At 55.2% G+C, this 21,343-nt stretch overlaps 2 protein-coding genes across 32 annotated transcripts in view, besides 3 other annotated features; one reads left to right on the top strand and one right to left on the bottom strand.

The window, feature by feature from the left end:
• Positions 1-5,248, top strand: part of DYNC2I2 (dynein 2 intermediate chain 2) — a 50,808-nt gene extending 45,560 nt beyond the window's left edge. For 2 of the 3 annotated variants that reach the window (XM_047424057.1, NM_052844.4), the window contains 7 exons: positions 1,874-1,983; positions 2,463-2,620; positions 3,134-3,243; positions 3,642-3,809; positions 3,980-4,212; positions 4,518-4,675; positions 4,919-5,248. In XM_047424057.1, the coding sequence (XP_047280013.1) occupies positions 1,874-1,983; positions 2,463-2,620; positions 3,134-3,243; positions 3,642-3,809; positions 3,980-4,212; positions 4,518-4,675; positions 4,919-5,157 (1,176 nt within the window). In that variant the 3' untranslated portion in view covers positions 5,158-5,248. The remainder of the gene's footprint in view (positions 1-1,873; positions 1,984-2,462; positions 2,621-3,133; positions 3,244-3,641; positions 3,810-3,979; positions 4,213-4,517; positions 4,676-4,918) is intronic. The other variant, XM_011519179.3, reaches the window with a different exon arrangement.
• Positions 2,206-2,956: an enhancer, noted in NCBI's record as "H3K27ac-H3K4me1 hESC enhancer chr9:131398224-131398974 (GRCh37/hg19 assembly coordinates)". NCBI's record gives its function as "activates a minimal SCP1, AML or CMV promoter by ChIP-STARR-seq in naive H9 embryonic stem cells {active_cell/tissue: H9 hESC(naive)}" and the evidence as "EXISTENCE:reporter gene assay evidence [ECO:0000049][PMID:30033119]".
• Positions 3,009-4,208: an enhancer, noted in NCBI's record as "CDK7 strongly-dependent group 2 enhancer chr9:131396972-131398171 (GRCh37/hg19 assembly coordinates)". NCBI's record gives its function as "activates an origin of replication core promoter dependent on BRD2, BRD4, P300/CBP, MED14 and CDK7 cofactors, with strong dependence on CDK7, by STARR-seq in HCT116 cells {active_cell/tissue: HCT116}" and the evidence as "EXISTENCE:reporter gene assay evidence [ECO:0000049][PMID:35650434]".
• SPTAN1 (spectrin alpha, non-erythrocytic 1) overlaps positions 5,239-21,343 on the bottom strand; it is an 81,076-nt gene continuing 64,971 nt past the window's right edge. For 11 of the 29 annotated variants that reach the window (NM_001375312.2, NM_001375311.2, NM_001375314.2 and 8 more), the window contains 16 exons: positions 21,141-21,261; positions 20,793-20,914; positions 19,898-20,030; positions 17,645-17,743; positions 14,414-14,573; positions 13,722-13,798; positions 12,923-13,132; positions 12,214-12,510; positions 11,403-11,515; positions 10,959-10,976; positions 8,526-8,580; positions 6,578-6,774; positions 6,417-6,470; positions 6,183-6,329; positions 5,946-6,093; positions 5,239-5,692 (listed from right to left, as the gene is read on the bottom strand). In NM_001375312.2, the coding sequence (NP_001362241.2) occupies positions 5,567-5,692; positions 5,946-6,093; positions 6,183-6,329; positions 6,417-6,470; positions 6,578-6,774; positions 8,526-8,580; positions 10,959-10,976; positions 11,403-11,515; positions 12,214-12,510; positions 12,923-13,132; positions 13,722-13,798; positions 14,414-14,573; positions 17,645-17,743; positions 19,898-20,030; positions 20,793-20,914; positions 21,141-21,261 (2,077 nt within the window). In that variant the 3' untranslated portion in view covers positions 5,239-5,566. Of the gene's footprint in view, positions 5,693-5,945; positions 6,094-6,182; positions 6,330-6,416; positions 6,471-6,577; positions 6,775-8,525; positions 8,581-9,713; positions 9,777-10,958; positions 10,977-11,402; positions 11,516-11,810; positions 11,898-12,213; positions 12,511-12,922; positions 13,133-13,721; positions 13,799-14,413; positions 14,574-17,644; positions 17,744-19,897; positions 20,031-20,792; positions 20,915-21,140; positions 21,262-21,343 lie in introns of all 29 variants that reach the window. The other 18 variants (NM_001375318.1, XM_047423783.1, XM_047423784.1 and 15 more) reach the window with 3 other exon arrangements.
• Positions 11,234-11,879: an enhancer, noted in NCBI's record as "H3K4me1 hESC enhancer chr9:131389301-131389946 (GRCh37/hg19 assembly coordinates)". NCBI's record gives its function as "activates a minimal SCP1, AML or CMV promoter by ChIP-STARR-seq in naive H9 embryonic stem cells {active_cell/tissue: H9 hESC(naive)}" and the evidence as "EXISTENCE:reporter gene assay evidence [ECO:0000049][PMID:30033119]".

Here is a 21,343-nt window from a genome sequence, read left to right as displayed (position 1 = left end):
GGTTCATGCGTGTTGTGGCTTGGGTTGGTGCTGCGTTCCTTTTTACAGCTGCATGGTGTTGCATGGACAGACCACATTCATTTAGCCACTCATCAGCTAATGGACATTTGGGCTATTCCCCTTTTTGGCTATAGTGAGTCATGCTCTTGTGGACATTGGTGTACAGGTGTCCATGTGGACATGAGTTTTCATTTCTCTAGGGTCTAAACCTATGAGTGGAGTTGCTGGTCCTGGTCTCCTGCAGCTTGTTCTCCACAGCAGAGGCACCTCTTGCACATGCTGCAGCAGTGCGCGGGGTGTGGCTGTGGAGCTCTTTGTGGAGTGTGGAGTCTTTCCAGTGGATAGTTTCTTTTTTATTTTTTTACAAAATGCATTTTTTTTTTTTGAGATGGAGTCTCGCTCTGTCGCCAGGCTGGAGTGCAATGGCGTGATCTGGGCTCACTGCAACCTCTGCCTCCTGGGTTCAAGCTATTCTGCTGCCTCAGCCTCCTGAGTAGCTGGGACCACAGGCACGTGCTACCACACCCAGCTCATTTTTTGTATTTTTAGTAGAGATGGGTTTCACCATGTTGGCCAGGATGGTCTTGAACTCCAGACCTTGTGATCCGCCCGCCTCCGCCTCCCAAAGTGCTGGGATTACAGGCATGAGCCACCAGGCCTGGCCTTTTTTTTTTTTTTTTGAGACAGGGTCTTGCTCTGTTGCTTAGGCTGGAGAGCAGCAGTGCAACCTCTGTGTCCTGGGTTCAAGTGATCCTCCCACCTCAACTTCCTGAGTAGCTGGGATTACAGGCTCTGACCCCCATGCCCAGCTAATTTTTGTATTTTTGGTAGAGACGGGGTTTCACCATCTTGCCTACACTGGTCTTGAACTCCTGAGCTTAAGCTATCCTCCTGCCTCAGCCTCCCAAAGTGCTGAGATTACAGGCGTGAGCCATCGTGCCCGGCCCTCAGTTGATAGTTTCTTTATGTAGAATCATGAGGTCAACAGATCTGAAACGTCAGAGGATCTGAGAGGCTGTTTGGATTCCTGGCACACACCACTTCCTGGGCAGCTGGTGCCTACCCCTGGCTAGGCTGGTCGTCAGCCTCCTCACATGCAGCTGTGGCCGGCTGCAGGGCTGAAAGCAAGATGCCAGAGCTTGACAAAAAATCGTGGGCAGCCAGGCACAGCAGCTCATGCCTGTCATCTCAGCACTTTGGGAGACCGAGGCAGGCGGATCACCTGAGGTCAGGAGTTCGAGACTAGCCTGGGCAACATGGTGAAACCCCGTCTCTGATAAAAATATAAAAATTATCCAGGTTTGGTGGCACGCGCCTGTAATCCCAGCTACTTGGGAGGCTGAGGCATGAGAATCACTTGAACCCAGGAGGTGGCAGTTGCAGTGAGTGGAGACTGCACCATTGCACTCCAGCCTGGGCCACAGAGTGAGACTCTGTCTCAAAAAGAAAACCAACCAACTAACCACCACAAACAACAAAAAATCATGTGCGTGTAGCACAGCGTGACGTCGGGTGGTTCGCTTGACCCCTTGTACTTGGCCGCGTTGGGCACTTTTATGCTGCTGGGCAACCATCCCCACCTTCCTGCTGCAGCCCCTGAGGCTTGGAAACTGTGGAGTGTGCCTGTGAGGGCAGCCACCCCTCTGGGCGGGAGCCTGGTCGGCCTTGCTTCTCAGGCCATGCCTTCTGGGCTTCTGGAAGCATTCTGCTGGGGCAGATGTGGGGATGAACGTGCCACATTTTCCTCTAGGCCTGGCTGATGGACTTGAGGGCCTCTAGGGCTAAGGGTGGCCTGGCCTAGGTGGGGTTTGGTTAGGCAGTCATGAGGCCCCTGCTGGTGGCTTTGGACTCAGGGTTGGGGACGTCTCCGCAGGTGTCTTGTCTGTATACCCTGGGCTACCCGCCAGCCCAAGCGCAGGGTCTGCATGTGACCAGCATCTCCTGGAACTCCACTGGCTCTGTGGTGGCCTGTGCCTACGGCCGGTGAGTGGCAGCGGGGCAGGTGAGGGGCAGCTCGCCACCCCAGGACCCTCCTTGGGCCTTGTCTCTGTAGCTGCACAGGGAAGGGCTGGTTCTAAGAGCTTGGCCATCCTGGGAGTCTCTTCTCAAGCCTTCCTGGGCAGGGTTGACAACAAGTGGCAGAAGAGCAGGCAGTGGGGCTGAGTGCCAGGATCACCCTCCCCCCTGCCTGGAGGCCCTGGGCCTGCCTGCCTCGCCCGCCCCACCAGCTGCTTCCCCATCCTGCATGGCATGGACTGTCCTTGGTGCCTGGGGACCATTTTCCAGAGAATGCCACACCCTTGGGGTGCTAGAGTGGAGTGTGGGCCACTTCAATACCCAGAGTAGTGTCTGGTGGTGACAAGGACACAGCGAGTGTGTCCGGGGCTAGTGGGGAGAGAGGTGGGGTGGGTGATAGGAGCCCCACCCAGGGGCACAGCCGGCTCAAGCCTGTCCCTGCACAGGCTGGACCATGGGGACTGGAGCACGCTTAAGTCCTTCGTGTGTGCCTGGAACCTGGACCGGCGAGACCTGCGTCCCCAGCAGCCGTCGGCCGTGGTGGAGGTCCCCAGCGCTGTCCTGTGTCTGGCCTTCCACCCCACGCAGCCCTCCCACGTCGCAGGTGAGCTGCCTGCTGTGTCCGCCTCCTCTCCTCTCAGGACTCAGCTTCCCGCCCTGCAGAGGGCACAAGGGAGCTTTCCATGGGCCCTTTGGCCCGGAGACAGGAAGGCGGGCCCTGACCCTCTCAGTCTGGAGCCCAGGTGAAGGTCTGCAGTGAGCCCTGAGGGGTGGAACTCGGGGGAGGAGTCTGGAAGGGGGCCAGGGTCGGGGCCAGGACAGGGGGCTGTGGAGAGGCCAGAAGAGGCAGGTGCCCTTGGGAAGCCGTCAGTGGTAGGGGGCAGGCAACGCTGGAGGGAGCTGCCAGGTGCAGGGCAGGGGTGTCCGGCAAAGCTCCCTGGGGTACAACAGGGGAGCTGGGGGCTAGGACTCTCCCTCTGTGGGGATGACTTCCAGCCAAGTGGCTCTGCCGCCTGGCCCTGGCCCTGGCCCTGTAGGTGGGCTGGGGCGGGTGTTTGGCCAGGAAGTCAGGCTGGGGGTGGGGCTGAGCCTCTGCCCAGGTCCACTGTCCCTGCAGGAGGGCTGTACAGTGGTGAGGTGTTGGTGTGGGACCTGAGCCGTCTTGAGGACCCGCTGCTGTGGCGCACAGGCCTGACGGATGACACCCACACAGACCCTGTGTCCCAGGTCAGGGCAGGGGCTGCCGGGCGGGGTGGGCCCTGAGGCAGAGCTGGGGAGAGGGCGCCCACTCTCCTAGGAAGGTCACCCGGGCGTTGGCAGTTGGACAGCTGCCTCCTGCATTCTCGGAGCTCCCGCAGCATGAGTCACCCCCCTCAGGAGCCACTCCCAGGGCCCTGTGGCCATTCCCAGCCTCCTCTGCAGGCACCGAGTGAGCAGCGCTGGGATTCTGGGACTGGAGAGGGCCCTGGGAACCCTCCAGGCCTGCCCCCTGGTGGGTGAGCCTGGTTCTGGGGCCTCCCGGAGAATTTTTTTTTTTCCTGGAAGAGAGGGAGGGTAGGGGTGGAGCGTGACACCTGGGCAGGTGTCCCTTGTCTCCATCCTGGCCCTGCATGCTGTTAACTCAGGTGGTGTGGCTGCCCGAGCCTGGGCACAGCCACCGCTTCCAGGTGCTGAGTGTGGCCACCGACGGGAAGGTGCTACTCTGGCAGGGCATCGGGGTAGGCCAGCTGCAGCTCACAGAGGGCTTCGCCCTGGTCATGCAGCAGCTGCCACGGAGCACCAAGCTCAAGAAGGTACGTGGGCACCCGGAAACTGCCCTGGCCTGCGCCGGTGAGCCTTGGGGGTGGGAAGGTGTGGCAGTGGGCCTGACTTGCTGTGATCTCCCCTCCTGTTCTCTGGCTCTGTTGGGACAGTGCCATCTGATGCCCTTGGCTCTGACCCTGCTGCTGCCATTTCTCCACAGCATCCCCGCGGGGAGACCGAGGTGGGCGCCACGGCAGTGGCCTTCTCCAGCTTTGACCCTAGGCTGTTCATTCTGGGCACGGAAGGCGGCTTCCCGCTCAAGTGTTCCCTGGCAGCTGGAGAGGCAGCCCTCACGCGGATGCCCAGCTCCGTGCCCCTGCGGGCCCCAGCACAGTTTACCTTCTCCCCCCACGGCGGTCCCATCTACTCTGTGAGCTGTTCCCCCTTCCACAGGTACGTAGGGCAGGCCTGGGGCACAGTGGGGCCAGGGTGTCCCTGCCCTGCGGGTCTCTAGCCTGCCAAGCCTCATGACAAACTGCTTCAAGTGCTTGCCTTCTGCCCACTCTGAGACCCGTGTTCAGGTCTTTGGTGGTTGGCCCAGGCATCGTCCCTTCTCTAATGAGAGGACCAACTCCAGGCTGAGGGACCCGGGAGGCTCTTCACGAGCCTGGCAGCCCAGGAGGGGTCTGGTGTTGGGGGCCAGCACCACCCAGACCCCAGCACTGATTCCCTTGCCTGGCCCCCTGCATCCCGTCTAGGAATCTCTTCCTGAGCGCTGGGACTGACGGGCATGTCCACCTGTACTCCATGCTGCAGGCCCCTCCCTTGACTTCGCTGCAGCTCTCCCTCAAGTATCTGTTTGCTGTGCGCTGGTCCCCAGTGCGGCCCTTGGTTTTTGCAGCTGCCTCTGGGAAAGGTAGGAAGGGGCCGCTAGGCCTGGATCTGTTTAAGGGGTGGGTGGTCTGGGCCCTGCTTGTACCTGGGGTTCTGGGTTGGGGAAAAGACCACACATGGGGGTAAGGACGGCTTCCCTCCAGCAACCCAACTCAAAGCCACTGTGGCTGCACACAACAGGATTGAACCCGGGCATTAGCCTCCTCCTGCCATGTGGTTGGTCTCTAGAGTTTCTCTTACTCCACGTATCTGTCTCTCTTTGCAGGTGACGTGCAGCTGTTTGATCTCCAGAAAAGCTCCCAGAAACCCACAGTTTTGATCAAGCAAACCCAGGATGAAAGCCCTGTCTACTGTCTGGAGTTCAACAGCCAGCAGACTCAGCTCTTGGCTGCGGGCGATGCCCAGGGCACAGTGAAGGTGTGGCAGCTGAGCACAGAGTTCACGGAACAAGGGCCCCGGGAAGCTGAGGACCTGGACTGCCTGGCAGCAGAGGTGGCGGCCTGAGGGGTCCCGGGAGGCGGGTGCAAGCCTTCGCTGTGCCGAGCCTTGTGTTTCTGACGCAAGCCAAATGAAGAAAAGCAAAGCTTTGGGGGAAGTCATCATTTATTTGTCTTTTACATGAAAACAGATTTGGGGGAGGGTGGGAGAGAGAACAAGGGGAGGAGCCAGCTGCTTCGATTTTCTGAAGTCGGAATGAGGGCAGCTGCTTCAAGACACAGATCTGGGTCCCCACAGTGACATGATGATTGTGACTGGACCGGAAGCGGGTTAGTGAAGCACCATTTTCTCCTAAGTCTTATTCCAAGCTAAGCAGGCTTAAGGTTACAGTGGAAAGTGAGAGCACACAGAGGAGCGGACATGCAGCAAGGCGACGCAGGGCAAGCAGCGAGGGGTGGGTGACCCAGGGAGTGGCTCAGTTCACGAAAAGCGAGCGGGTGAACTCCACGTAGTCGAACGCGGTGGGGAGCTCGCGGCCCTTGCCGTCCACGTAGGGCTTCATGTGGGAGACGCAGTAGTCGGCTTGTTCCCGGGTCAGGTTCTGTGGGGTAAGAGATGGCACCTGGTGCCTGAGCCAGCTGCACCCACTTCAAACCCGACCTCCCAGGTCTCAGGATGCTGGGGGCTCGGAGCTGCTTCTACAAGCAGATCCGGGACTTCTGTCCATACTGAGTTTGATTTGTAAATGGGGAGAATACCCAGCGCAGGGCCTGTTACCCCAGACTCAGCTCTGCCACAAATTTGGCTTTAGTTTTCCAAAGGACACCTCTTCACCCACCTCCTGAGGCCCATACCTGGTAGAGCTCCTCCTTGGTCACGTAAGGCTTTCCCTCTGAGCTGAGGGCCCGGAAGGCGCTCTCAATCTCCTCGCTGGACTTGACGTTCTCAGTTTCGCGGCTGATCATGAAAGCCATGTATTCTTGCAAGGAGACATGGCCATCTCTAGGAGCGGGGGAAGCAAGAGCCTGAGCAGGGAGGGCAGGTGGGTGCCCCGGGCAGAGGCTCACAGCACCTGGCCTTAATTAATTTACCTGTTCGGATCCACCGTGTCCAGGATTGCCTCGAACTCAGGGTCAGGTTCCCCTTCCTCCACCATGGGCAGGTCATAGCCCAGGGAGCGCAGGCAAGATTTGAACTCCTGATGGTTCAGCCTGCCAGACTTGTCCTTGTCAAAGTGTCTGCAGCACAAAGCCGAGGGCGGCTCAGCAGGCAGCCCTGCTGCCGAACACCCCCCACCCAGCCAGGGCGAGTAAGGCTGAACTCACTTAAACATCATGCTGAATTCTTTGAGGGCCTCCTCAGTCACACCTGTTGTGTTCCTGGAAGAAAAACAGAAATTAGGGAACAGACCCTCCACACAGCAGGTGACTGTGTCTTTTCCTCCCCCTGCTCTGGGCTGAGCCTGGCCCACAGCCCTCCCGGGTACCTGGCCTGGATCTGCTGCTCCAGGTTGTGCTGCATGCGCATGCCCAGCTGGTCCAGCTGGTCCCACTGCTGGGCGAGGCCCACGGTGCTGTGCTCCGTGTACTTGTTGTCCAGGATGAGGGCCTCCTCCATGGCGGCCCCCAGGTCCTCGATCTTTTTGAGCTGACTTCTCATGGCTCGGATTTCCTGGTGCTTGCGCTGCAGGGGTGGGGAGCACAGATGCTCAGACGGGGGCCCTCAGCTCAGTCACCAGCCCAGGAGCCACTTACTGCCCTCTGGTTCCTGCTCCAGGCCTGGCCTGAGACCTCGTAAAACAAGAACATTCTAGAATAGGAATAGTGGGATGGGGTGAAGCTGAAGAAATCCCAACCACCTCAATAGAGGGAGAGACTTTCAATGTGAGGGTTCCAAAGCAGCTGGTAGACCTGCCAGAGGGCAGTGCACGCCAAGGACAAGTACGGCGAGGACTCCAGGAAGCAGTGGCCAAAGATTTTTATAAATTTTTTTGAGATGGAGTCTCACTGTCGCCTAGGCTAGAGTGCAGTGGCGCAATCACGCTCACTGCAACCTCCCGGGTTCAAGTGATTCTCCTGCCTCAATCTCCTGAGTAGCTGGAACTAACAGGTGCCCATCACCACACCTGCCTAATTTTTGTATTTTTAGTAGAGGCGATGTTTCACTGCATTGACCAGGCTGGTCTTGAATTCCTAGGCTCAAGTGATCTGCCTGTCTTGGCCTCCCAAAGTTCTGGGATTATAGGCATGAGCCACTGCACCCAGCCTTATTTTTAAGACAAGGTCTTGCTATATATTGCCCATGCTGGACTTTGAGCAGGTGTAGGCCACCATGCCCAAGTAATTTTTTTCAGAGGGAGTTTTGCTCTTGTCACCCAGGCTGGAGTGCAATGGCCTGATCTCGGGTCACTGCAACCTCCGCATCCCAGAATCAAGTGATTCTCCTGCCTCAGCCTCCTGAGTAGCTGGGATTACAGGTGCCTGCCACCACACCCAGCTAATATTTTGTATTTTTAGTAGAGATGGGGTTTCCCCATGTTGGCCAGGCTGGTCTCGAACTCCTGACTTCAAGCAATCCACCCGCCTCGGCTTCCCAAAGTGCTGGGATTACAGGTGTAAGTCACCACACCCAGCCCCAAAGACTTTCTTTAAAGTGAAGAGCCCTCGGCCGGGAGTGGTGGCTCATGCTTGTAATCCCAGCACTTTGGGAGGCTGAGGTGGACAGATCACTGGAGATCAGGAGTTCCAGACCGGCCTGGCCAACAAGGCAAAACACTGTCTCTACTAAAAATATAAAAACTAGGCCAGATGTGGTGGCTCACGCTTGTAATCCCAGCACTTTGGGAGGCCGAGGCGGGCAGATCAGCCGAGGTCAGGAGTTCGAGACCAGCCTGCCTGGCCAACATGGTGAAACCCTGTCTCTACTAAAAATACAAAAATTACCCAGGTGTGGTGGTGGGCGCCTGTAATCCCAGCTACTTGGGAGGTTGAGGCAGGAGGATCACTTGAACCCAGGAGGTGGAGGTTGCAGTGAGCCAAGACCACGTCCATTGCACTCCAGCCTGGGCAACAAGAGTGAAACTCCATCTCAAAAGATAATTAAAAATAAACAAAAATTAGCCAAATGTGGTGGCACACATCTGTAGTACAGCTATTTGGGAGGCTGAGGCAGGAGAATTGCTTGACCTGGGAGGTGGAGGTTGCAGTGAGCCAATATCGCACCACTGCACTCCAGCCTGGGCGAGAGAGAGATTCCATGAAGAAAGAAAGAAAAGAGAGAGAGATAGTGAAGAGCCCTAGACTGCTTTAGGCCAAGGGAAAAGGGTACAATAATAGCACATCTGGTTCCTGACTTTAAGCCAGGAAGGGAAGGGGTACCCTGGGGGGTGGCTGGGTGAAGGGTCTCTGCTGGGCCAGAGCCCCACGGGCACTTACTTTGGTAGCTTCAAGCTGGGATTCGAGGGTCCCCGACTCTTCCACCATACAGGACCTAAACGTGGAAGGACAGTGAGGAAAGGGGCCTGCTCCCAGCTGGCCGAGAGCTCAGAATGAACCTTCTCTCAGAGAGAGCAATGCCTGGCAACCTCACATTCCTTTTAAGGAAACCAAACCTAACTGCAACTGGCCATCTTTACCTAATGGGCCCCAGGGATCGAGGGATGGCAGGGAGCATTTCTCCCGTTTTAGAGATGGGAAGCTGCTGCCTTGGTGTGGGCCAGGGCTGAGCCCACTCGTCTTGCTCCCAAGGCCAGGATGACTCAGGAATGGAGTTTAAATTCCCCCATGGGTGCAGGGTGGCTGCAGGCCTGTCTGAGCATCCTCTCTGCAGCCATGTGGGGGATGGCACACCCTGACACCTGACAGACAGGAGACCTCAGGGCAGAGGGGAGGCTGAGAACCTGACAGCCTCCCCACAGAAACCCTGGAGTGTCCCGGCAAGGTTCCTGAGGGAGGGAGCCCCATTCTAGGGGGAATGAGAGCACGACCCTGCAGACAAAGGACACAAGTGGAGTGCTGGGAGATCACGACCAACTGTGCCAAAAGGAGAGAGATGGCTGTGACTAAACCCCAGATCCCGGTTCCATCCTCTAGACACAGCCAGGGAGGGAGCCTCCTCTCTAGGACCAAGTTCTGAGAGCAGATGGGCTCTGGGGAGCCTCCTTCCCAAGAGAACACAGTGCCAGGTCACAGAGGCTACCAGTAAACAAAGACAACAAACGAGTTAGGGTTACGTGCAGGGACGAATCACACGGTGCGTGTGGCCTTGGTGGGGTTTTAGCCCAGGCTCCCCTGTACCCACATTCACCCCAACCTACCCTTTTAAAACCCGGCGAGCCAGGGTTAGCTCTGCAATCTCCCCAGGTTCAAAGTGCTCTAGCAAGGCAAGGCACCAGGCTTCCTCCTACCCCAGCAGGTCAGACTCACAGTCACGCCATGTCCCCCCGGGGAAAATGCCCCCCAGGACCTGGGGGCAGGAGGCTGGGTGCCGGTGCAGTGGGAGGACAGACCCCTCCTTCCCAAGCAGCCGAGGGCGGCAGGTTAGTCAGGGTGGAGCCGCCTGGGGATGTCAAGAGTGCATCAGTAAAGCCACAGTGAGGTAAGAAGAGAAATAAGGAGAAAAACCTTCCAGACAGATCATCCCCAACTTCATACTGATAGACACGAATGACCCGACGATATGCTATGCTATTCAAAGAAAAGAAACCAAATGAATACACCAAAGGGAGGGGAGGCAAGAGCACACTGCAACAGACACACACAAAGCCCAAGCTGGCAGGGCGCAGGCAAGGGCAACCTGGTGCCCGGCGGGTACCTGGAGGCAGCAGGCCCAGTGGTTCACCCCAGGCAGCTCACACTAGGAATGGGCAAGATGGGCAGGGCTTGGGAGGAGCCATAAGGTGAGGGGAGCGTGGCACCTCACGGAGACAAGAGCAAGACCAGCAGACACAGGCATGGGGCAGGGAGGGGAGTCAGGTGGCCAGGGTGTCCTACGGGCACAGGCCGGAAACTGCGATCCCTACGTCCCCAGCTGCTCTGCCATCAGAATGTGTGGCCCGGCTGGATGGGTCTATTTCTCCCCTGGCCGCCTATACAGGCTTGATGTGCCTGGGTGCAGAGCCTCAGGAGTGCAGGCCAAGCCACTCCAGTCCCAGCAGCCCTGGCTTTCACAGCAGGCTTGGCAGATTACAAAGGTGACCCGGCCAGGCAGAGGCCCCAGGCCAAGCAGAGAAGTCCCTGCCGGGACTGGGCGGGACAGCCCAGCCCTGCTCCTCCCTGGGGCTCCTCCCACGTCCTGTCTATCACATAACGGGTGCATTTTTGCCTTCTATTAGGGCGGACAGTCTTGTTACCCTCCCTGACCCCAGGAAAGTAAAGTGGCAGCCTCAGCTACTTAGGGGGTGTCAGTGCCCAGCCCTTCTCAGCTGTGGACTTACTGTACCCTGCCTGAGCCCCCAGCACTGCCATCTGCTTCATGCCCACTGACCACTGTTGGACTCGCTGGGGAAGCAGAGGTGAGAGCCCAACAGAGCCCGGTGGCTGGACAGGCACGGGGGTTCTTAGGGCCTCTGGACTCCAGCTCTGGCCTTCGTGCTTCATCACCTTCCCTACCCAAAGTGAGCCCTTGGAATCGCCCAGTGAGGCAAGGACGGCTCCCCCTGGCTTGAAGGCTCTATCGGGGACCAGGGACCATGGGCTATGGGGCAAGGCACACACTCCTCATCAGGTGACGAGAAGGGTGGGAGGGGAAGTGCAGCCCGCCCTGGGCAGGAAGGCCCATCCCGGGATCCTCCACAAGCCAGGCCACGAGGGGCAAGCGCACGAGACCCCCACATGACAAGCCCAGAGAAGGAAGAAAACAATATTAACCCATCGAGGAGGTATGTCCTGTGGAGAGCAGATCCAAGCAGCCGGGAGACAAGGTGGTGTCCGGACAACAGCAGCAATCGGGGGGACAGAGAGAAGACACAAGAAAGAAAGGAAAACAAAAGCAAGAACATCAGTACCCAACGCACAGACCCTGCATCGTCTGTCACCAAGTCATGGCTGGGGCTGACCACGCGCCCTGCATGGTCCCACTCAATCCGGGATCTCTAACAACTTGATGTCTGGGACATGCAGCACTGAGAGGCTGCTCCACCTATGCCCCCACTCCCGGCTCCAGAGCCCGACCAGGCGTTGCCAGCCCAGCTTTATTCCCAGGCTGCCTCTGGTTTTACACAAAGCACCACCACCTCCTTGGGGCTGGAAGCTCCCCAGGGCTTAAGTACAGCAGGGACATGCTGCTGCTCCCCGGCCCCAGCGGGCTGGCACCTGGTCTCTTGGATCCACTGGTGGAAGGCGTTGGCGTGCTGGGCAAACTCCTGGCGCAGCTTGTCGTTCTCCTCCTGCCGCCGCTGTTCCTTCTGCAGCTCCAGCTCCCTCTCCTGAGGGCCAAAGGGGGGCAGATGCTGTGCGCTGCTGTGGCAGTGACACCAGCCCCTCCTTCACAGATGGGCTCAGGGTGGTGGTGGCCTCCCCACAAGGAACCTCCCCAAAGATGAGAGGAGGAGGCTGGGAGACATGAGGCCGGCTCAGAGCACTTGGTAGTTCTTTCTCTGTTCCCACCCCCCAGGGGCTTCAAGGAAGAGGCGGACCTGGAGGGAAGCGACTGGTCAGTCAAGCAGGGAGTTGCTGGACTGTCAGAAATGGAAACTTCTGGCTGGGTACAGTGGCTCACACCTGTAATCCCAGCACTTTGGGAGGCCTGGGCAGGAGGACTGCTTGAGGCCAGGAGTTGAAGACCAGCCTGGGCAACATAGCAACACCCTGTCTACAAAAATTAAAATAATTAGCCAGGCGTGGTGGCACGTGCTTGTAGTCCCAGTTATTCAAGAGGCTCAGGCAAGAGGATCACCTGAGCCTGGGAGGTTGAGGCTACAGGGAGCCATGGTAGCACCACTGCACTGAAGCCTGGGTGACAGAGACCCTGCCTCAAGAACACAAAAAGAAATGAAACTTCTGATGAAACCATGCTCCTCCATCCTGCTCGTCTTGTCGTGACTCAGTTAAGTGTGGGCTCTGAGCAGGGCCCAGAGAGGGCTCTGGGAGGCCGAGCAGCTCCTGAGGGCAGCGGGAGGTGTACCTTGATGATTTTCTGTAGGTTCCTCCAGGTCTCCTCCAGGGCCTCCATGGTAAACCAGGTGTAGGGGTTGGAGGCTACGCGGAAGCTCTTGATCTGGCGGTCCAGCTCGGCCAGCTGGTTGAAGTCAGCCTGGGCAGAGCTGAGGGAGGAGCGGAAGGCGTCGTGGGCCTCGCGCAAAGCTTTGATTTCTTCCAAGGAGTTGCAGCGCACGGGGTCTGTTAAGTCCTCCTCTGCATTTTCAAACCAGCTGTTGAAGGCAGAAGCCTTTTTGGCGAAGGTCAGGAAGAGGTCCTCCACCTGGAAGCAGAAGAGACTGAGTTGGCGGAGTCGCCAGGGCTGGACGTGCCGACGCAGTGCAGGAGGTGGGGTGCGGGGTGGTTCCTGGGAATCAGAGGCGCACACAGCCTGCTGGGAGCTTAGCTCCCCTCTGCTCCTGTCTCCTGCTCCCCCTTCAAGTCTTCACCAGCCTTTTTTCCCCTTCCTACCCTTTGCCCTTGTCTCTAGTCTGTCCTGCGTGCTTCTGAATGGCGATCTCACAGGGCCCTCTCATTTGCCCTGGTTTTAATTGATGCCAGCCACACCCATGTTTGAAAGCTCTGCACTGAGCTCACAGCTTCCTCAAGGGGGAGTGGCAGAGCTGGGCAGACAGAAGGTGGGCGTCCTTCCTTGAGCTGTGGGCCAGCTAAGCTTCACGTGGCCCCATCCTCACCTTGCGGAAGTGACTCTGAGCCTCCAGAAGCTTCTTCTTGCGGGCGGCTGAGTTGGCCAGAAGCTGGCTCCACCTCTTCATGAGGGAGGCGTGCCGGGCCTCGATGGCCTTGGACTGAACGTGTTTGGCGGCGAGAAGCTGATCTTTGAGGGCAGTGATGTTGGCAATGCCTTCCTGCTGGAAGGCCTGCAGCCCAGCGTCAAAAGTTTCCTGAACAAGGAGTGACAAGCCAATTTGTGGTGACTCCACAGGACTGGAACTTGCTCTTCCTAGGCTCAGATGGCACCAGCATGTCCCCCAGATGCCCAAGCCAAACTGTCCACCTGGACACTGCTGAGACTCAGTCACACATGCCCCCTTTCCTGCTCTCCTTCAGACCGCAGATCACTGCGGCAGCCTCCTCCCACCTCCCTGACCCCAGCCTTCCGCTCTCCCGCCCCAGGGATCCCTGCCAGCTCTGCCCAGAACACTCGCCCTGCCTCTCTCCCTGACCGTTTTCATTCACCCCTCATGATTTCGCTTAGGAGAACTTGCCCCTTCAACCCTCGCCTGCTGAAAACTGAGTGAGTGCTCCTGCAGTGCCCAGTCCCGTCAGCACCCAGCAGGCTGCTGCAGAGATGCCTGGTTCTGTGTCTGCTTCCCCAGTTAGTCTGGAAGCTCCCTGAGGACCAGGACAGGATCTTTTTCCTGCTGATCCCCAGGGGCTAACAGAAGATAAATGCCTCAGTGAAAGACGCCACCAGTCATCTCACAGATGCTATCTGCATACATTTCAACCAGTGAAGGGGCCAGGGCAGACCTGTTTGGTGAGGAGCGTCTGCACAGAAGACAGGTCTCGGCCATAATCATCTGTCTTCAAGCTGTTCTCCTTTTCACCTAGAAAACGAAGTGTGGAAAATATACTGCCCTCCTCAGTGGAGATGGATTAGAAAGGAAAAACATCAAAACCCAGACAAACCATTTTTTGTGTACAGATAAATCCCAATCTTCCTAACTACAGCCTCAGAACCCACATTAGCAGGCCCCTCCCTGCACCCAGGCCTGGCCTCCATCTGTGCCATGACGAGCTCCCTGCAGCCCGTCTTCTAGTTCAGTTGCTATTACTACTACCCAGGACACGTGGACCCCGATATCCGGACCCAGTTTTCCCTCACCCAGGAGCTGGGTGGCGCCCCTGACCAGGGCAGCTAGTGGTGCCTTTGCTGTGCCAACTTTGTTCATGCCATGACGTCACATTATGCCATCTCTGCGTGCAGCAGCGTTTACAGGCTTTTGTTTATTGACCCTGGTGCCAGCCCAGTTCCGGGTGGCAGTTCTGGCCTCAGGACACTGTCTCCTCCTAGCTGGCAGTCAGTGGTCTGCCCTGGTAGTAGGTTCTCTGCCATGCCCACAATTGATCAGTTTCTTCTCTGCAGAAGAAAACCAATGACACGGAAGGAGACAAAGAGCAGCTCTGGGAAGGCTCTTCCGGGCCTTGCTGACAGTGCTCACCGATCCAGGACTCCACCACGTCCGCCTTCCAGTTGAACTGAAGGAAGGCCGAGTTCTCATCCAGCTTCGCCTTTCTCTGGGCTGCAGCTTTCTCCAGGTCTGACACTTTCCCGTTCAGGCCCTTCATCTTTGAAGAGATGTTCTCCTCATGGTGATTGTTCTAGGCCATGGAGAGAGGCACACACTGGTCAGCCTTACCTGCTGTGGTTACCTGACTATGCCCTCCCTGGAAAGGCTCTAAACTTCTATAAAATGGGCCACTTGCTCCCCTGTCCACTGCTGGGTAAACAATGATAGGGTAAGGCTTTTGTAAGAGCAATGCGGTCAAAGGCTTCACACAAATACACGTACTGACAATTCTACTTTTAGGAATTCTTTTTTTTTTTTTTTTTTTTTTTTTTGAGACGGAGTGAATTTCACTCCGTCGCCCAGGCTGGAATGCAGTGGCGTGATCTCGGCTCACTGCAACCTCCGCCTCCCGGGTTCAAGAGATTCTCCTGCCTCAGCCTCCCGAGTAGCTGGGACTAATAGGCGAACACCACCATGCACAGCTAATTATTTTTAGTAGAGATGGGGGTTTCACCATGTTGGTCAGGCTGGTCTCGAACTCCTGACCTCAGGTGATTTGCCCACCTCGGCTTCCCAAAGTGCTGGGATTACAGGTGTGAGCCATAGTGCCCAGCCGGTCCAAGGAATTAATTCTAAAGAAATATGGGCCAGGCGCAGTGGCTAACGCCTGTAATCCTAGCACTCTGGGAGGCTGAGGTGGGCAGATCATTTGAGGCCAGGGGTTCAAGACCAGCTTGGCTAATATGGTGAAACCCTGTCTCTTCTAAAAAATACAAAAAAAAAAAAAAAAAAAAAATTAGCCAGGTTTGGTGGCACTCATCTGTAATCCCAGTGACCCAGGAGGCTGAGGGATGAGAACTGCTTGAACCTGGGAGGTGGAGGCTGCAGTGAGCCGAGATCATGCCACTGCACCCCAGCCTGGGCAACACAGCAAGACTCTGTCTCAAACAAAAAAAACGAATGGGCTGAAATTTGAAGTTAAGATGATATATTCATTAGTATTATTTTTGATAGAAAAAAACTGAATCATATCACTTAAAATACTACACATACAGGGCTGGGTGCAGTGGCTCACTCCTGTAATTTCAGCACAAGGCGAGAGAATCACTTGAGCCCAGGAGTTGGAGACCAGCCTGGGCAACATAACATAGTGAGACCCCATCTCTTAAAAAAAAAAAAGAAAAAAAGAAAGAAATTAGCCAGGTGTGTTGACACCCACCTGTGGTCCCAGCTAGCTAGGGAAGCTCAGGTGGGAGAACTGCTGAAACCCGGGAGGCAGAGGCTACAGTGAGCCGAGATCGTGCCACTACACTCCAGCCTGGGCGACAAGAGCAAGACTCCATCTCAAAAAATAAAAATAAAAAAATTGGCTGGGTACAGTAGCTCACGCCTGTAATCCCAGCACTTTGGGAGGCCGAGGCAGGCGGATCATGAGGTCAGGAGTTTGAGACCAGCCTAACCAACATGGTGAAACCCCATCTCTAATAAAAATACAAAAATTAGCTGGGCGTGGTGGCAGGCGCCTGTAACCCCAGCTACTCAGGAGGCTGAGGCAGGAGAGTCACTTGAACCCAGGAGGTGGCGGTGGCAGTGAGGTGAGATTGCGCCAGTGCACTCCAGCCTGGGCCACAGAGTGAGACTCCGTCTAAAAAATAAATAAATAAATAAATAAATAAATAAACCATACTACAAGTCACATTGAATTTAAAGAGAAATTCTTTAACACCTGTGGAAAGGGGGAAAATAAAAAGAAAAAAGAATTGAAAGATAAATTCAAAGAGGAAACAGGCTGTCGCTGAGGACAAAGCAGCCGGCTCGCTGGCCGGGGGTGGTGGCTCATGCCTGTAATCCCAGCACTTTGGGAGGCCGAGGAGGGCGGATCACCTGAGGTCAGGAGTTCGAGACCAGCCTGACCAACATGGAGAAACCCCATCTCTACTAACAATACAAAATTAGCCGGGCATAGTGGCACATGCCTGTAATCCCAGCTACTAGGGAGGCTGAGGCAGAAGCATCGTTTCAACCTGGGAGGTGGAGGTTGCGGTGAGCCCAGATCACACCCCTGCACTCCAGCCTGGGCAACAAGAGCGAAACTCCGTCGCAAAAAAAAAAAAAAAAAAAAAAAGCAGCTGGCTCGTTGCCAGGAGGCTGAAGGACACTCACACTGGTGATCTCCTGGCTTGAAGAACAGAGAATGTTGTCTGGGTGTGTGTCAGGGGGTTAAGTGTGCAGGAGCCACGTCTACATCTATACATGGCTGTAGCTGAAATTAGTTTCACGCAAGTTTATTTGCAGATCAGAGCAAGGAAGAAAAGCTCTCCAGTGAAGTGGATTTTAGCTACATTGTTGCTGCCTATGGATCAAACCCTAGTCTGAAGGCCATGACTGCTGAGTGCAACCTCTGTGATGAGAAATCTTACTCATGATGTGTGTGTGACAGGAAACCATAGCTGTTAAAACCTCTGTCCTGAGGCACTCCAGGTGCGTCACTGCACCTGAGTGATTGCTGGTGAATTCCCGACCCACGGACACACTGCCTTCAGTCTAGAGCTTCTGTGTGGGAGGGATGTGGCTTCGCTGCTGCTGAGAAAGCACCAAGCCCCTTTATTTTTTCTCCCAAAAGGGCTGCGAATGAAGTAGATTCATTTCTAAAATGCCCTGTACAGCCTCGAGGTTTTTGATAATTTATGGAGTGATATGATCCTATTAAACGGGAGTCTGCGGCTGTTTGATCTAGCTGGTAGCTCTAAACCTGTGGAGAGAAAAGAAAGGTCTGGCAGGTCAGACACAAAGATCTAATGTGTGGTGTCAGGGTGGGGCTTTATGGGTAATTTTTATTTTATGTTTTGCTTATTTGCATTTTCTACTGTCCCTATAAAGAGACTGTATTGCTTGAGAAATAAACTAAGAGCAGCATTTGGGAGTGCCAGTGTCTCTGTTGCTTAATGCAGAAAAAATAAGCACTGCAGAATAACTTTACTGGCTTCAAAAAGGGGGAAATATCCAACTTGTCACGAAACACAGGAATGGAATTGCTGCTGGTCTCCACGCAGACCTTGGTTTGGTGAACATCCCAGGAAGTGAACTTTGGGGGACCTCTGTGGTACCAACACGTGGGTGTCCCAGTGGGCGATGGAGGTCTTACCAATGGGCTGGACTCACCTTCTTAATGAGGTCTTGTCCATTGGTGCAGACATCATTCACGCGATCCTTGTGGACGGTGAAGTCTGTCTCAAAAGCTTCATGTTTCTTCAGTAAGCCCTGGAGTAGAAGCAGCCAAGGCACACTATTGAGAGCCTGCTATGTGTTGTGGGCTAGGCCCCGGGGACAGAGAGTGACAAAACTGCTATGGTCCCTGTCCATGCACACATTACAGTCTAGCTGGGGAAGAGGATAATAAAGAGGAACATTAATAAATAGAGAATCATAAAAGGAAGGAAAACAGGAGGCAGTGAGGCAGTGAGAGTAACCAGCAGTGGTGGGACAGGCTTCAGCAGGGACAGTCTTTGGACCTTTGGGAAGGGTCAAACCCTTTGTCATCCATCAACAGTGACTTATGGTCTCTCCCCCAAGAGGACCACAAGAATGACACAAAGCAAGCTGAAGATATACACCCAAACAAAAACGACACATTTTTAAGGTTTAACTTGAACACATCTCAGAAAAGGCCTTCCAAGTCATGTCTTTTTTTTTTCTTTTTGAGACGGAGTTCTTGCTCTATTGCCCAGGCTGGAGTGCAGCAGCGTGATCTTGGCTCACTGCAACCTCTGCCTCCCAGGTTCAAGCGATTCTCCTGCCTCAGCCTCCCAAGTAGCTGGGATTACAGGTGTGCACCACCACACCCAGCTAATTTTTGTAGTTTTTAGTACAGACGGGGTTTCACCATGTTGGCCAGGTTGGTCTCGGACTCCTGACCTCAGGTGATCTGCCCACCTTGGCCTCCCAAAGTGCTGGGATTACAGGTGTGAGCCACCGCACCTGGCCCCAGGTCTTTTCCTTAGTACAATTTAAGCACTGCAGACCATGCCTTTTTGGTTGCTTCCAGGGAACTCAACTATGCAGAGGATGGGAAATGACTGACCATCTAAATTCTACCTGAATCACCCTGACCAGCGGGAGGATGCTTCCCATGGTGAGGAAGGTGGCTCAAAGCTAACTCGATTCCTGGGAGTGCACACTCCTGCTTCCACATCTGGGGGCAGGAATTTAGTCATATCTGACCATGATACTTTGCAGCATCTCCTTTCCAGAGGGGAATCTATCCACCTATGCCTCTGGGCTGCCTTGGGACTTGCTTTGGCCAGAAGGCAGTGAGGATGATGTGTGAGGCCGCAGACATCTTGCAGCTCCTGCCTTTGCCTGTCTGAATGCTGCTGAAGGAGGTTGGTCTAGCCAGCTTGAGGACAACAGGCCATGTGGAGGGGAACAGAGATGTCCAGGCTGGATGACAATCAGGCTCAGCTGCCAGTGTGTGATGGATCTCTCAGCCCAGCCACGCTCTGCCTGAATGCAGGAGCGTGAAGGACCTCCAGTGACAGCTGCAGATGCCGCTGATCCACAGATCCATTGGAAGTAAGAAATGGGTGCTGCTTTCAACCACTACATTTAGGCGGGTTGTTATGTAGCAACAGTTAACCAATTTAGGGAGTATGTGATGGGCTGAACTGTGTCCCCCTCAAGAGATGGTGAAGTCCTAACTTCTGGTACCCATGAATGTGGAAACAAGATCTTTGCAAATGTCCTCTGCAAAGGTAAGATGAGGTCATTAGCGTGGACCCTAATCCAATAGACCTGATGTCCCTACAACAGAACACAGAAATGTGAATAGACACACAGAGTGATGCCAAGTGAAGACAGACTCAGAGGGAAGATGGCTACGTGAAGACAGGCAGAGACTGGAGTGATGCTGCCACATGCCAAGGGCGCCTGGTGCCAGCAAAAACTGGAAGAGGCAAGGAAAGATCCTCCCCTACAGGTTTGCAGAACATGGTCCTGCCTGCTTCTTGATTTCAGACTTCTGGCCTCCAGAACTGAGAAGCAATAAATCTCTGTTGTCCTCAGCCACTCCATCTGTGCCACTCTGTCTGTGGTACTCCGTTCGTGCCACTCCGTTTGTGGTACTTATTTATGGCAGCCCCAGGAAACTGATATGAAGACTCAAGCCCACAGCGCTGCCTGGTGAATGACAGGGCCCGTGAACTGAGACTGACAAAGCCATACCAATTTTGTTTACTGAAGGGTGATGTCCCCTAGTGTGAGATCTTGAGGGCTAAAACCAACTACTGAGGCCTTGGCTGCTGGCCCTGTGTGCTCTCCTAGTAAGAGCAGGGCCCTCTAACAAACCAACAGGGAAATGATGACCAGCAGGCAGTTGCCAAGAGAGAAAGCAGGTGACACCTTTGGTTTCTGTCTCACCTGGATGGCGGCAAGAGTGTCGCCATAATCTTCGCTGGCCACCAGGGTCATTTTCTCATTGATCCAGGCTTCTTCCTCTTCCACATTGGCTACAAACTGCTGATATTCCAAGGACTCTTCCAGCCGCTGACCCCTAATTACAGGAGACAGGAAGAAAATCAGCCATAATCTCCTCCAGCTTTGATTGTGATAGTTAACATATGCTTAAAAACAGTCACAAAAGCTGGGCATGGTGGCTCATGCCTGCAATCCCAGCACTTTGGGAGGCCGAGGCGGGCAGATCACGAGATCAGGAGATCGAGACCATCCTGGCTAAGACGGTGAAACCCCGTCTCTACTAAAAATACAAAAAATTAGCTGGGCTTGGTGGCGGGTGCCTGTAGTCCCAGCTACTCGGGAGGCTGAGGCAGGAGAATGGCGTGAACCTGGGAGGCAGAGCTTGCAGTGAGCCGAGATTGTGCCACTGCACTCCAGCCTGGGTGACAGCAAGACCCCGTCTCAAAAACAAAAACAAAAACATTCACAAAAAAGGTGAGCCCTCACAGTCAGTCAGGCCGTCCATGGAACATCATGAATCACCCACTCTGTGATTCCAGACTCTCATGTCTTGATTTCTGGAGAATCATGTGTGATTCATGTGTGATTCATGTGTGATTCTGGACTCATACAGAAACATGTATGATTCTGGACTCATACAGTGGGTCCAGATGAACAGAATGAGACCACCTCAGCATGGCCTGTAGGAGGTGGCTCTGGAGCAAACCGACTATGGCACATGTGAGGCCAAAGGTCCAGGAGACAGTAGGAGGGCCCACTGGACCCCCACAGCTCAGAGTCTGCCCTTGGGTGCTGGCCTTCCACTTGTTCCCGGGAGCTCCTGCCTCTGACTACTCACCGGGCAGCTGCCAGCTGCTTCAGCTCTTTCCAGTGCTCCACAAACTGCGCCAGCCGCTGCTGGATCTCCTCTTTCCCGATGGTGTTGTCATCGGACAGCTTCTTGCCAGTGTCCAGGACACCCTGACAGGCAAGGACGAGGAGGTTAACAGCAGGTAGCTCTTCTGGTGCTTCTGTCTCGAAGCTCCCAGGAAAAGGCCTCAACATCAAGTTTGGGACTTCTCCAGGTTTGGACTGAGGGGTCATGAACACTTTAGGGACCTCAGTGAAATAAGCGCAAGGGGTTTGTCTGTCCCCTGGGGCCCACTCAAACACCTCTGCCCTCTTGGCCAGAAGGCGGCCTCCTTACCTGAATAGCCGGCTCATGCGCAGCCAGTTCTGCTTCCAGCCGCTTGTGCTTCTTCCTCAGGTTCTGCACGCCGGTTAGGTCCCGGCCGTAGTCCTCTGAGCCCACCAGCAGCTTCTTCTCCCTGAATGAGAGATGGGAAACAGCACAGTCAGTCTCTGCACCTCCCTGCTTTCAAGTGGGGACATCAGGTCAACTGTGGACCT

This window comes from Homo sapiens, chromosome 9 (genome assembly GCF_000001405.40).
Source record: "Homo sapiens chromosome 9, GRCh38.p14 Primary Assembly".
In the NCBI taxonomy this organism is placed as follows: domain Eukaryota; kingdom Metazoa; phylum Chordata; class Mammalia; order Primates; family Hominidae; genus Homo; species Homo sapiens.
This window is presented reverse-complemented; position numbering and strand designations above follow the sequence as displayed.